The sequence below is a fragment of the Homo sapiens genome, chromosome 1 (assembly GCF_000001405.40).
Source record: "Homo sapiens chromosome 1, GRCh38.p14 Primary Assembly".
NCBI lineage: Eukaryota > Metazoa > Chordata > Mammalia > Primates > Hominidae > Homo > Homo sapiens.
In genome coordinates this window covers 109,654,467-109,668,026 of record NC_000001.11, presented here as the reverse complement: position 1 = coordinate 109,668,026, position 13,560 = coordinate 109,654,467, and the positions used below count along the sequence as shown (strand labels likewise).

The window sequence follows — 13,560 nt, the reverse complement described above, 5'->3', positions numbered from 1 at the left end:
TTGCTGCGACCCCGCCCCACGGCCCGCCCTGCCCCCGAAACGGGCCAATCTGGAGGCCTGGAGCGCGCTCATGGGGCTAGGAGTAGGATCTCCTCCCACCTCCCAGCCCCGTGGGTTTCAGGAGAGAGATCAGGACGCCCAGAAGCCCAGGGCGGGGGAGAACTGGTTGAGTCCAGGGGTTCAAGACTGAACTGAGCTATGATCGCGCCGCTGCACTCTAGGTTAGGCAAGAAAGAAAGGCTCTCTCTAAAACAGAGAGATTCTGAATAAAGTAATAATAGCCTAATAAAGAAAAATAACACAAAAGAACATTTGGTGCTCAGGGATTCACTGGATAAGTTTTCAAAACTTTTCAATGTATGATAGAGATTGTTATAAACTGCGGACATACGTGGCATGACAGACCTAACGTGGGAAGGACAACACAGGCAAGGATGATTATAACTCACTGTCACTTATCAGCCTAAATCCAAACGTCAGGAATACCGCCTCAGAGAAAAGAAAATGATGTTTTTGTCATAAGTGGTGCTGTGCTCCTAGGGAGCTTGCTGGGTGGGAAGAGAGACAGAAAGGTGGGGAGCAGGGGCTGGTGGACTTGGGGAGGGAGGAGAAAGCCCATGTGGAAACGTTAGAATCTGGGGTAATCAGAGGTCTTTGTATTCATTCGTTTTGTAAATTTCTCAAACTCTCATGTTAAATCAAAATAAAAAGTTAAAAAAAAAAAACTACCAGGACAGACATACACAAATATTATTAACTGAAATAAATGTTCCATCAAAAAGGACTTACCTTAACTACATGAGTTATATTATGATTTCTATTATTATTATTATTATTATTTTAATATTAGTATCCATCCAGCACACCACTGGTCTTCAAGTGGAGGTAACTTTGCCCCTCAGGGGACATGTAGGTCTGTCTGGAGACTTTGTTAATTGTCACCACTGGGAAGCGCCCATGGCATCTAGTGGGTAGAGTTTGCGTAGGATGCTGAACACCCTGCAATGCTCAGGACAGTGCCCCACAACAAATGATTTTGCCCTCCAAAATGACAGTACTGCTGAGGTGAAGAAACCCTAGTCTAAAACCCAGCCAACGTGGTGAAATCCCGACTGTACTAAAAATGCAAAAAAATTAGCCAGGCCTGGTGGCGGGTGCCTGTAATCCCAGCTACTCAGGAAGCTGAGGCAGGAGAATCGCTTGAACCAGGGAGGTGGAGGTTGTAGTGAGCTGAGGTTGCACCACTGCACTCCAGCCTGAGCGACAGAGTAAGACTCCGTCTCAAAAAAAAGAAAAAGAAACCCAGGAATGGGTCAAAAGTTGCAGTGGGAGAAACAAGGTCCTCAAAATTCTGGTGGCAGGAAGCAGGCCAAAGGACCCACTTCCCTGGACACCAGCTGGCAGAAGGGAGGACCTAGAGACAATCTCAGCTGGCACAGTCCCTGCAGGCATCAAGCTGCACATCAGGAATGAGAGAAGGAGAATTGGGCAGGGAAATGGTCTACCAGGTGGACAGGCTGGGCAGCCTTGATCTTTCAGGGTACAGGGTAGGGAGTATGGGACTCTCTCTGCCAGTCAGACAGCAGGCCTACCCTGCAGCTCTGAGCACATTATTCCAGAGACAGGCAGCCTGAGCCCAGCACCAGAGTGGGTAATTCCTCTAGAGCTGCTGGGGCAAGGCTAGGCAGGATGAACTGAACTTATTTTTGAAAAGTATCCACCCAGCCTGGGAAGCATGGTGAAACATTGTCTACCAAATATACGAAAATTAGCTGGCCATGGTGGCCCTTTACCTGTGGTCCCAGCTACTTGAGAGGCTGAGGTGGGAGGATCATTGGAGCCTGAGAAGTCGAGGCTGCAATGAGCCGTGATCACACCACTGCACTCCAGCCTGGGTGACAGAATGAGACCCTGTCTCAAAAAAAAGTAATAACAAGTCAAATTTAAAAAGAAGGTATCTACCTGACTATCGTGTGTAGAAAGGTCCCAAAAGTCAATGCCAATTTGCAATGACTTGACTGGACTCTTCCTGCATTTAACACCCCCATTAGGGGTGGCCAAAAGTCGAATATATAATAAGCACCTGATGACTGCCACAGACATGGATATGAGTGATGCTAGTCACCAGAGGCAGCCCCCTTCCACTGTTCACCCACCCTTCCAAGCCTGCCAGAGACCCTCACCCAAAATGAATCGACAAAATGTGCAAGCAGATGTTTTCATCTTTGGAGTCTTTAAAATAATGATCATCAACAGGGAGATTTACCAGGAGAAAAGAGAATATCTTCCCTCAAAATCTCCTTGGAGTTTACTGCAAGGCATCTCAGAAAGTGCTTTCCATATAGAAAAGCCCCCAGGTAATAGATATGCTGCAGCGTTTTATCTTGTGTTTGATTTTTTAAAACTTATTGATGATGAGTTTTTGTGTGTGTGTGTGTTTTTGTTTGTTGTTGTTGTCGTTGTTGTTTTTTGCTATGTGTACTAGGTCAGGGTTCTTCAAAATTTGAAGTGACACCACTAAGATAAGGCTGTAGGAAATTTGTGTGTTTATTTATAAATTTATCTATCTGTTATGGGAATTGGCTCACACAATTTTGGAGTGAAGAAGTCCCATGATCTGCCGACTGCAGGATAGAGAAGCAGGAAAGCCAGTGGTATCATTCAGAGGCTAAAGGCCTCAGAACAAAGGTGGGGGTGGGAGGCGATGGTGTTAGTCCCTGATCAAGTCTGAAGGCCAGAGAACCAGGAGTGTGGAGGTCCCAGGATAGGCAGAGATGGATGTCCCAGTCAGAGAGGTCAAATTCACCCTTCCTGTCTTTTTCTTCTCTCTGGGCCCTGACAGTTTGGTGGATGCCTCCTTCATTGCTGAAGGAAATCTTTGCTGTCTTCTGATTCAAAGGCAAATCTCTTCTGGAAACACCCTCACAAGCACAATGATTTTACCTGCCATCTGAGCATCCCTTAGCCCAGTCAAGTTGATGCAGAAAATTGACCATCACATTATGCCACAGGAAACCTAGAACAGAATCATAATTAATTACATTGTGCCTATTAGAGAGAAGGTCTTGACTGCCACAAGATCATTCTTTAACCTTTCTCCAGGAGTTGACTAAGCCACAGGTAGAGAATGGGTAAACAGAGAGTTTTATACAGGAGATTCAAGGACGGGTAGATTCATAGACTGTGATTCATTGGCAGAAACATGCACACACTATAAACAAAAAAGGTGAAGGTAGAAAACTTGAAGGTATTCTATAAACCTATAAAAATATTATAAGATGAAACTGCAATCCCTCAAGTACCTAAGGTAGTGCAGAAAGATCCATGTGACTTGCAGGTGTCACCATGAATTAAGTTATTCTCTCTGGGCTGGGCGCGATGGCTCAAGCCTGTAATCCTAGCACTTTGGGAGGCTGAGGCAGGCAAATCACGTGAGGTCAGGAGTTCGAGACCAGCCTGGCCAATATGGTGAAACCCCATCTCTACTAAAAATACAAAAATTAGCCGAGGGTGGTGGCACACGCCCGTAATTCCAGCTACTCAGGAGGCAGAGGCAAGAAAATTGCTGGAACTCAGGAGGCGGAGGTTGCAGTGAGCTGAGATCGCGCCACTGCACTCCAGCCTGGGTGACAGAGTAAGACTCCACATCAAAAAAAAAAAAAAAAAAAAAAAAAAAAAAAAAAAAGCTATTCTCTCTAGAGAGCAATTTATCTATGATAATACCATAACACCATTCTCACCTTTTGCCTTGTAGTAATTGCCTTTGGGGACCAACTCAAATAAAGTACCCAAAAACCAGAGAAGGAATTAGTTTAAACATGATCACTCTGTTCTAAAAATAAATAAATGAGAAAAATCCACATGCCCAATAGGGTAAGAATGACTAAGCAAACTATAATTTATCCACAGGAAGTAATGATAGCCATTAAATGCTAGAAATAGGCATGCATATAGACTGCCAACATGTACAGATTCTTAGGTAAAATGTTAAAGAGAAAAAACTGCAGAACCTAAGAGTGTATGTGCCCATCAATCTCACCTATCCAAAGAAGTAGGCATAAATAAAAATCTAAAGGGAATTTGAAATGACACCATTAAGATAGAGCCTATAATTTGCCTAATAACTATTCAGTGAGCACCTGCTATGCTCAGGGACTGTCCTAGGTGATATGCAAACACCTGTTACATCAGCGAACAAGAAGAGACAAAAACACATGTCCTGAGGACGTTGACATCTTATGAGGGAAAGCAAACCAACACAAGCACACAAATAATGTAAGACATATGAGCATGCTTTTCATTGAAGTGTAATACACATACAGTGCACAGGCCTTAATGCATGCTTTTTTTTTTTCTTTTTGAGACGGAGTCTTGCTCTGTCGCCCAGGCTGGAGTGTGCAGTGGCGTGATCTCAGCTCACTGCAACCTCTGCCTCCTGGGTTCAAGCAATTCTCCTGCCTCAGCCTCCTGAGTAGCTGGGATTACAGGCGCTGCCACCACGCCTGGCTGATTTTTGTATTTTTAGTAGAGACGGGGTTTCACCATGTTGGTCAGGCTGGTCTCAAACCCCCAACCTCATGATCCACACGCCTCGGCCTCCCAAAGTGCTGGGATTATAGACGTGAGCCACCGCACCTGGCCAAGCATGCTTTTCATTGAAGTGTAATACATACAGTGCATAGGCCTTAAGTGTGCTACTCTGTGGGCTTTTCCACTTGGATACTCTTCTGGAATCACCTCCCAGATAAAGAGAGAAAACTTACAGCACTGCACCAGGAGCCTTCAATAGGCAACCTTCCAGTTCTCACCAAGGTCACCAATCATCTGACCTCTGATACCATGGACTCATTTCCCTCTCCTGAATTTCGTGTAAGTGGAATGAGATCGTGTGTCCTTTCTCCTGTCTGGATCCTTTTACTCAACACTTCTGTGAGACCCATCCATGTTTTTGCACATAGTGTTAGCATGTTTATTTTCATTATAGCAGAGTAAATATACCATTATATGAATGATGGAATTATGTTGATAAACCACAGTTTATTTGTTCATTCTTCTATTCATGGAATTTGGATTGTTTTCAGTTATTGGCTATTTAAAATAAAGCTGCTTTTGGCATCATTATACCTGGCTCTTGGAATCCATTAAGACTCATTCCTATAGGGTGGGATTTCTGGGTCCTGGGTAGATGTATGTTTAGCTCTAGTTGACACTGCCAGTATTCCAAAGTGGCTTTCCCACCAGCAATGCATGACAGTTCCAGTTACTGCATAAATCACCAGCAATTGTCAGTCCTTTCAATGTCAGCCATTCTAGTGGGGATACAGTAGGATCTTATGGGTTTTTAACTTTCTGCTTTCTAATAATGTTGAGCACCTTCTCATGAGCTTGTTGGCAATTTGGATATTCATTTTTCGGAAATGCCTGTTCAAGTTTTGACTCATTTTTTAATGGGCCGTATTTCTGGATATATAGTTTTTGGAGAAAAGACCTTTGTTGATTTGTAATAAGTTCTCCCTGCTGGGCATCACCTGAATTCCTAACCCACAAAATCAACAACTATTTGTGATAACACAGCTTGGGAACTGCTGAGTGGGAGAACCTTCTGGTGAAGCAGCTCACAGTAGAGCTTGCGTCCTAGAGATCTAAGCTGTGATGGAGTCAGTCAGTGTGGAAGACAGAAGGATCCTGGTTCTCTGTGATGGGAATTCCACCACCTCTGGGCATCTAAGACGTACTCACTGAGACCTAGCTCTGCCTAACCATGGAAAGCACTGAATAATACTGAATACATAAAAATAAATGAAGATCTAGGCCCAGAAAGAGGCATCCTTTCTATAGAGCACTTTATGTGGCTTCCTGCTCTAAGGCAGTCAGAAAAGAGATCAAGAAGTTGGAAACAGGGCCAGGCATGGTGGCTCACACCTGCAATCCCAGCAATTTGGGATGCCAAGGTAAGAGGATCGCTTGAGCTCAGGAGTTCCAGACCAGCCTGGGCAACATAAAGAGACACATCTCTACAAAAATTTTTTTAATGTGGCCAGGTGTGGTGGCACACCTATAGTCTCAGCTATTTGGGAGGCTGAAGTGGGAGGATTCTTGAGCCCAGGACTGGATGTTGCAGTAAGCTACGATGCCGCCACTGCCCTTCACCTTGGGAAGCAGGAGACCTTATTTCAAAAAAAAAACAAAGTTGGAAACACCTTACTAAGCCCATCATAATCTCTATGAACCCAGCTACTGCCAGGGTCACCAGCCAGTCCCTCAGAAGAGGCAGTGACAGACACAGTCTGGGCAGCCAGGAGCAAATAAGACAAGACTATAGCAAATGTGGCTGAGGCTTTATTTTGATCAGGTAGGCCTAAGGCAGGGGCCATGCTGCAGGAGCAGGGCCTGTAAACCAGTCAATGCTGTCATGCAACACGGGGACAGCTCAGGGCTGAGCTCCACAGGCGAGGGGCCAGGTAGGCCCTTCAAAGCAGATACAACCACTAACAGGAAGGAAGGTCAGGCTGGCTTTAGTGCAGGGAAGGGTAGTGTTGGGAGGGGGATGTTCATGAAGGAAAGTGGGTAGCTGAGGCTTCAAAGGGCCTGCATGGGACAGGGGTTTAGGGGAAGTGAAGAGGCCCAATAAAGTCTTGGGGGTAAAGATGGGAATAAACAGGAGAAAGGAACGAGGAGGCAGGTGCTGGGATGCAGAGTCCAGCTGCGCTGCACAGCCTGGGCAGCAGGCTGAGTATGGGCTCCTCACTCCCACCTCCTGGCCTTCAAGGCATTACTTGTTGCCCCAGACAGCCACCCTTGTGTACAGAGGTTTTGGGAGGAAGCGGCTGGACTTCATGTAGGCAGAGATCTTCTCCAAGCCCTGAGAGGGGGGAAAATAAGGCCAGAACTCAAGGTCAGCTGCCCATGAGGGCTGGGACAACCCCACTGCAGACACAGCAGGTCAGGGCCCTGGCCACAGCCTTTCCACGTGGGCTCAAGTGCTGAGGCATCACACAGCCTCTTAGGGTCCCCAGATTTGCGGAGTTAACTCTTCCAACTTCCTTTAAGTAATGTTGTACCACAGTAACAGCTAACACTTATGAAGATTCTACCCGGTGCTGGGTGCTCTGTACCCAAGAGAAATTACAACATAAGCTTAGAAAACCCACTCGACTACTCTGCAAGGCTGAATCTATTATCACCATTTCTCATGTGGGAAACAGAAGTTCAGTAACTTCCTCACACTCAAATAGCTACTAAGGGGGACAGAGCTGCAACGTAGACTGGTTCTGTCTCTCTCCAGTTCTGGCCTCTTTCTGTCAAATCCCCATCCTCCCCCAAATCCCTCAGGAGGTCCTGTCACTCTCTGACTACACAACATTCTCCTGTTTCACAGGGAGGCACCTGGCTTGCCTAGGTTTGCACACACAGAGGGGACCTCTGAAAATGTCTGTGCAGCCTGGAAGAGAGCCCAGATCTCACCCAAGGACCTGGCAAAACCTGGATGAAAGTGGTCAAGGTGTGTTGGACCAGCAAAAGAAACGCCAGACCAGGCTCTAATCATTCCTTTTAAAGCAGAAAGTCTAAACCTCCCCACCTGGTACCTGAGCTAAACACCACTGTGCCCCAACCCACCTCATCTCCAACCCCACTACCTCAGACCAGGCTGTATGACACTCAGGTGTGCTCTGCACGATCTTTCCAGGATCAAATAGCCGTGTAATTTCTAAGGATTCAGAGAGAGCCAGGGCTGCCTATTCCCAAAGGGCCAAGCCCAGGTGGACCATATGCTGCAGCCCTCAGCTCTCTTCCCCTCCCACTACCTCTTACATAACCCCAAGGCCACTCAGCCGAGACCACAGCCAGAGCTGATGGGAACTAGCTGAGTAACCAGATCCCTTGATGGGTAGTGGGAAAGGAAAACAAATTCTAGGCTGAAAAACTTGTTGGACTAATGCCTCAAATTCTCACATCTGTACTAAAAGTAGGATTTGCTGCTCTCAAACAAATTCAGCACGGGTGAGGGATGGTTCCCCATGAGTGAGGGGCAGGCCCCAGGCCTGGTACCCAGGTGGTGCCACACACCTCACAGGCTGCTCTGCCTGCAGGCCTCTCACTGCACTCATTTCCAGGATGGGGCAGTCATCTATGCAACTCCCACTGTGCCTCACACCCTGCCTCATGCAGAGGAGAAGGTCGGTGAATAGCAGTAAAATCAGTGTGCTACTCATCTCACAGGGGGAACACTTGGAACACTGGAGGGAAAAAAGAGAGGAAAAAAGATAAAGAAGGAGAGTGCCCCAGCACAGAGCACTTCAACATACACTCCTTCAACAGGGGCACCCACATATGTACCCTAATCCAGCTCTGGCCACAGCTCTGGCTCTCAGGATTCCCCACGTGGGGGTCTGATCGTGCAAAGCTTCTGGGAGTAGCTATGAATACTGCCTGTGGGTTTCGTACTCGACGTCAATGCCACCGTGTGTCAGTCCTACTATTGCCAGCTGCATCCATGCTCCTAAAGTTCTCTGCCTCTTCCAAAGTGCCCTGGGCTGTGAAATCCAGGCTGGATGAGGCCTGAGGCTTCTTTCTTTTGTCACAAAAGGGAGAGCCCTGACTGCCACCCATAGATCCAGATGCTCACAGGGAGCCCAGCACAGCCTCCACTGGCTCTGGGACCCAGAACAAAGGACTGACCCTCTCATTCAAAGTTTTCTTATCTCTAAATGGGCAAGATAATTCTGTCACCCTGTAGGAATGTTGGAAATTTCAAATTCCACACGATAGGTATAATGTGCTGGGCAAGGTTCCTGGCATGAAGCCAGCACTCAATAAATGCAAGTTATTCTTTATGTAGCTCCAGGACTGGGAAAGCATCTGAAAGGAGGTAACGGAACAAGGGGCATCAAAGAGAAAGGAGGATGGGGGCATCACCTCAAAGCGGGAGATGAAGTCCTTCAGATTTGGAAAGGCGTCCAAGCAGTTGGGCTCAAATATACGGTGGAGGTCAAGGACATCATAGGCGAGGAAATCTACAAAGGTGATCTGCAGAAGGCCAAGAATGTGTGGGCTGGAATCTCTGTAACGTAGGATGTATGGCAAATCTCTAGTGTCCTCATCACATGCCCCCATTACCTTGTCTCCAACAAACCATGGCCTCTTCCCCAGGAACTGTGAGAAGTGCTGCATCATTGTAGGAAGTTCCTCCAAGTATTCTGGCTTCAGTTTCTCCTGAGGCAGAAAACAGCTGTCACCACCCTCAGACACAAGCTCCCTGCACAGATGTGGCCTCCCCAGGGCTGTGTATGGCCCCAGCTGGCCACGAGCAAGCAGCCATCTTCCCCACAGCTGGAACTGGCTTCAGCTGGACATACCAGCATTTATTACACTCCAAATGGGTAGCTGGAGGCTTTTGTGGTGATGGGAAGGCAGAGAGGAATGCAACACTATCCCTGAATCTGTCCCCACTGACCTCCCAACCACCCTCCTCTGGGTCAGCCCAGGAGCACCTGAGTACCTGGCAGGCTCTGGACCCAGACATGAGCAAAATCAAGGATACAAAGAACTAAAGGAGCTCAGAGAAAGAAGTTGAAAGTTCCTCCTAGTGCAGTGGCAGAATAATACAATGGACATTGAGTAGTTTCTGGAGAGATGAGATTTTGAGAGGCTGCATGGAAGGAGACAGAGGAACAAAGGCCCTCTGGCCGCCCCTGAGCTGCCTGTTAGGAAAATGCATTCATCCCTGTGCGTGTCAAGGAGAAGCACTAGGAAAAGAATAGCACGGAATTCCACAGAGGAGGGTGCTATTACATCCCACTACATACTTCTTTACCCCATAGTGTGAGTCTGCGTATTCCCCGAACAGGCAGATGGCATGAACCAGCTGGGTTAGATGGCCCGTGGCAGAGGTCAGGGGTCAGAGGTGAAGGGAATTCTGAACGCATGACTTTATTGTCTAGGAACTGAATTGCTAGCTTTCATAGGACTTCCTATGATTGGTGGGGACTGATTTCAAGTTTTTATTTTATAAGTTTAATGATATGACAGTCACTCTGCTACAGTACAGGGAACCCTCAGAGGATCAATAGCAGTGAGGAGTTCAAATTGTGAATAGGACCAGAGTAGATGGGAATACAAGCCTGGCTTCTGGTCCAGACCAGGGAGGGACTCACAAAGTCAGGGCTGTAGCAGACTCTGGCCAGCTGATTGGAGACGTCCATAGCCTGGTTCTCCAAAATGTCCACACGAATCTTCTCCTCTTCTGTCTCCCCACCTGCCACCCACAAAACACAGACTCACTCTGAGCATAGCACCCCAATCCAGCCAAGGAGGATGCCACCTTCCCCCCACACACTGCAGCCAACCACACTCACACAGGTTGTGCTTGCGGGCAATGTAGCACAGGATGGCGTTGCTCTGGGTGATCTTGTGAGCCCCATCAATCAAGTAGGGCAGCTGGATAGATGGGAAACCGGGGAAGCTCAGTTGGGCCAGCAGGCTCCCCAGCATCCCCTTCCCATATGCAAGGGCAGAGGGGAGACCAGGCACTCACTGTGCCCGCTCATGGCAGGCCTGACATAGAAATACTGTCACATGAACAAATGAGCTGGGACACAGAACATCATGCAGGGGCTGTGTAGACAACCAGGAGTGAGAGGAATTGGGCAGAAGACTCCTGATCCGAACACCTCTAATCTGGGGAGAGGAGATGCAGTCAGAGACACGTCGCACTTTCCCCCAAAACCGCCCCTTCCCCTGCACCTACATTGGGAAAGTCCAGGCCCAGCTTGAATTTTTCATTCAGCCACTGGCTTCTGTCATAGTCAGGAGCTGCCGTGGGGAAGAAGAAGTGAAAACAAACCTCCCCAGAGCCCAGCCCTCCTTCCCGGGGACCCTCCCAAGGAACCAGTGGCAAGATCCCTGAGACAGGTGGATCTAGAATCTGACCACTCAGTCCCACATCCCAGGGTTCAGGGACAAAGAATCCCGCTGAGGGCTCTGGACCCCACACGGCTAAGGCTTCCAGGGTTTAGGGAAGCTCTGAGGGACACCCAACCCAATTAAACAGGGGGCCCAGCATCCCGCCCCAGCATTCTGCCTTGCAAGGCCACAGGACTCCCTCACCGGGGCTCAGGGAAGGGACAGCCTGCAGCTCCAGCAGGGGAGGCCTGCAGAGGTAGCCACAGGTGGCCACCATGGGTTGCTTGGTGCCAACTCAGCGTGAGTGGGCAGAGCCCGGACACAAGGGTGTCATTACCGTCCCCCATCGTATACTTCTTTTCCTCGTAGCTTGAGTCTGTGTATTCCAGGAGCAGGCGGATGGCGTGGGCCAGCTGGAAGAGATGGCCCGCAGGTCGTGTCAGAGATGGAGGGTCCCTGACTTGGTGACTTTCTCTGCACCAGGTGAGCCCCTAGTCTACACTGCACTGCACCCCCCCCCCACCCCGGCGCACGCACACACACACACACACACACACACACACACACACACACAGGCATGCACAGGCCCTCCTGTGAGAGATAGCCCTAAGGAGGGAACCGTCCCTAGAGCCGGTCCCCAGCCGCTCGGCACTTCCCGCCCACGCGCCCGGTCCCACAGTGCAGCGGACCCTCACTCACCCCGCGGATGTCCCAGTACCCCAGTGTCATGGACATGATGCTGGTTGGTGTCGATTCTGCAGACAGGCCTCAGCTGGGCTGAACTGCGACCTCCTCTGGGGTTCCCGGCACGCAGGGGCTGGACCTAGCGCCAGACCCGCCCCCTCGGCCCCGCTGCGCCCGCCGATCTTCAAGGTCGTCACTTCCAACCGGCCGATCTTCAAGGTCGTCACTTCCAACCAACAGGCGCGGGAGGCACGGAGCAGGTTGCTGGATCCTCACTGGCTGGAAGGAGTAAGATCCACCGCCACCTCCGAGTGTTCAGGGAGCAAGGTCCGGAAGCACTAGGAGGGGCTCGGCCTCGCCAGCTTCCGTAGCCCCGCCCCGCCCCGCTCCGCTTCGGACCTCTGCTGGGTCCCCAGGGACTCGGCTGTGCGCGTGAGAGTAAAGCCAGATCGTAAGAGAAAAGTTCTTCCCCCGTTTCTTCTTCTCCGGACGTCGCCCAGCCTTCTGCCTCTCGGCTGCCGAGTTCCCACAGGCTCTGGGAGACTGAGGCTGCCAGGGTCAGACTAAAGAGAGGTCTCAGAGAGTTTAATTCAACACTTCTTGGCTACTAAGTCTTAGAAGTCTGATGGTGTGCTCTCTCTGCTGAGTTGGGGAGCGTGAATGGAGGCTATGTCACCGAAGCTGATAGAGCTCAGTCTCTGTTGCAGATGCTCCCGACCCTTTTGCATTGGGCCAGTTCCCCAGCTCTGAGACTGGGTCCAGGCTCAGGAAGTGGCCTATGTGTCAAGGTGGATTCCCATGTAGGTTTGCCTACAGCAAGACGATAGCACCATGCACACACAAGTGCTTGGACTTCTGAATAGTTATACTTCTCATTATACATTAAGACATTAAGAATGTGTCATTCTGAGTCTTTTTTTTTTTTTTTTTTTTGGAACGGGGACTCGCTGTGTTGCCCAGGCTGGAGTGCAGTAGGGCGATCTCGGTTCATTGCAACCTCCGCCTCCCGGGCTCAAGCGATTCTCCTGCCTCAGCCTCCCGAGCAGCTGGGATTACAGACGAGCGCCACGACGCCCTGCTAACTTTTTTGTATTTTCTGTAGAGATGGGATTTCACCGTGTTGACCAGACTGGTCTTGAACTCCTGGTCTCAAGTGATCCACCCGCCTCCGCCTCCCAAAGTGCTGGGATTACAGGCATGAGCCACGGTGCCTGGCCTGTCATTCTGAGTTTATCCATCTTGAGCTGGGAAAGATAAAATGTCTAGGTCCAATTGTGAAGATGATTTTTTAAGAAAGCTAACACTTATGAGAATAATTATGAAAGAAACAGAATTGATATTGTTACATTAGTATTCACCCATTTGGTCATTCCTTTATTGAAACAACAGTTGTTGAGATCCTACCATATTCCAGGCACTGGGAATAAAACAATCCTTCAAAAACACTGTACTTTGGCCACCTACGACTAGAAGTCAGGTGGGAACTACAGGGGAGAGATTTTGAAAATACGGGACACTTCTTACTGTTTTTGCACACTGAGAGGCAGTGGAGTGGGAGAGGGGTTGAGTGTAGGAGAGAGAAGCGGTGCCTGCTGTTGCAAGGACTCTGAGGAGCCAGGAAGACGGGGCCCAGGTCCCAGGTGGCTTCTTCAGAAGGAGGAGTACGGCTCTGCGGAAGGCGGGAAGAACTGGACCAGCAGGATCTCCAAAGTAGGGGCCACAGTGGCCACGAGGATCACACCAGGGCGGGAAGTGGGTCTGTGGACAGGGATCGGGAGCAGTGGGGATGAGGGAGGCGGAAGTGGTGCCCTGGGGAAGAATGTGCACGCTGTTGTCAGGTTATTTTCTGCATGCCTGTGAGATCTAACCGGTTCATTGTGTGTTCACATTCTGCATTTCCTTACTTACCTTCCGTCTCAGCCTTTCCATAATTGAAAGAGGGGTTTTAGAGCCTCCCATTGTTAATGTAGAACT

General features: G+C 49.2%; 1 protein-coding gene across 7 annotated transcripts, besides 2 other annotated features; it reads right to left on the bottom strand.

Moving 5' to 3' along the window:
- Window positions 1-299: 299 nt before the first annotated feature.
- Window positions 300-11,928, bottom strand: GSTM4 (glutathione S-transferase mu 4). 7 transcript variants are annotated; one of them, XR_007059238.1, is made up of 9 exons: window positions 11,602-11,928; window positions 11,240-11,315; window positions 10,748-10,812; window positions 10,356-10,437; window positions 10,155-10,255; window positions 9,118-9,213; window positions 8,917-9,027; window positions 2,944-3,016; window positions 300-1,911 (listed from the first exon to the last, which is right to left on the bottom strand). XR_007059238.1 is itself a non-coding variant. In XM_017001085.2 (9 exons), exons 1-9 carry the CDS (start codon window positions 11,635-11,637, stop codon window positions 6,835-6,837), a joined length of 765 nt encoding a protein of 254 aa, XP_016856574.1. In that variant the 5' UTR covers window positions 11,638-11,928; the 3' UTR covers window positions 6,327-6,834. The 7 variants fall into 7 exon arrangements, 5 of the variants coding, with proteins under 5 accessions (NP_671489.1, XP_016856574.1, NP_000841.1 ...); XM_017001085.2 differs by lacking the exons at window positions 300-1,911; window positions 2,944-3,016 and adding exons at window positions 6,327-6,862; window positions 8,068-8,237; NM_147148.3 differs by lacking the exon at window positions 300-1,911 and having other exon boundaries at window positions 2,530-3,016.
- Window positions 10,702-11,287: an enhancer, noted in NCBI's record as "H3K4me1 hESC enhancer chr1:110199362-110199947 (GRCh37/hg19 assembly coordinates)". NCBI's record gives its function as "activates a minimal SCP1, AML or CMV promoter by ChIP-STARR-seq in primed H9 embryonic stem cells {active_cell/tissue: H9 hESC(primed)}" and the evidence as "EXISTENCE:reporter gene assay evidence [ECO:0000049][PMID:30033119]".
- Window positions 12,161-12,210: an enhancer, noted in NCBI's record as "active region_1449". NCBI's record gives its function as "activates an Ori minimal core promoter by ATAC-STARR-seq in GM12878 lymphoblastoid cells {active_cell/tissue: GM12878}" and the evidence as "EXISTENCE:reporter gene assay evidence [ECO:0000049][PMID:35858748]".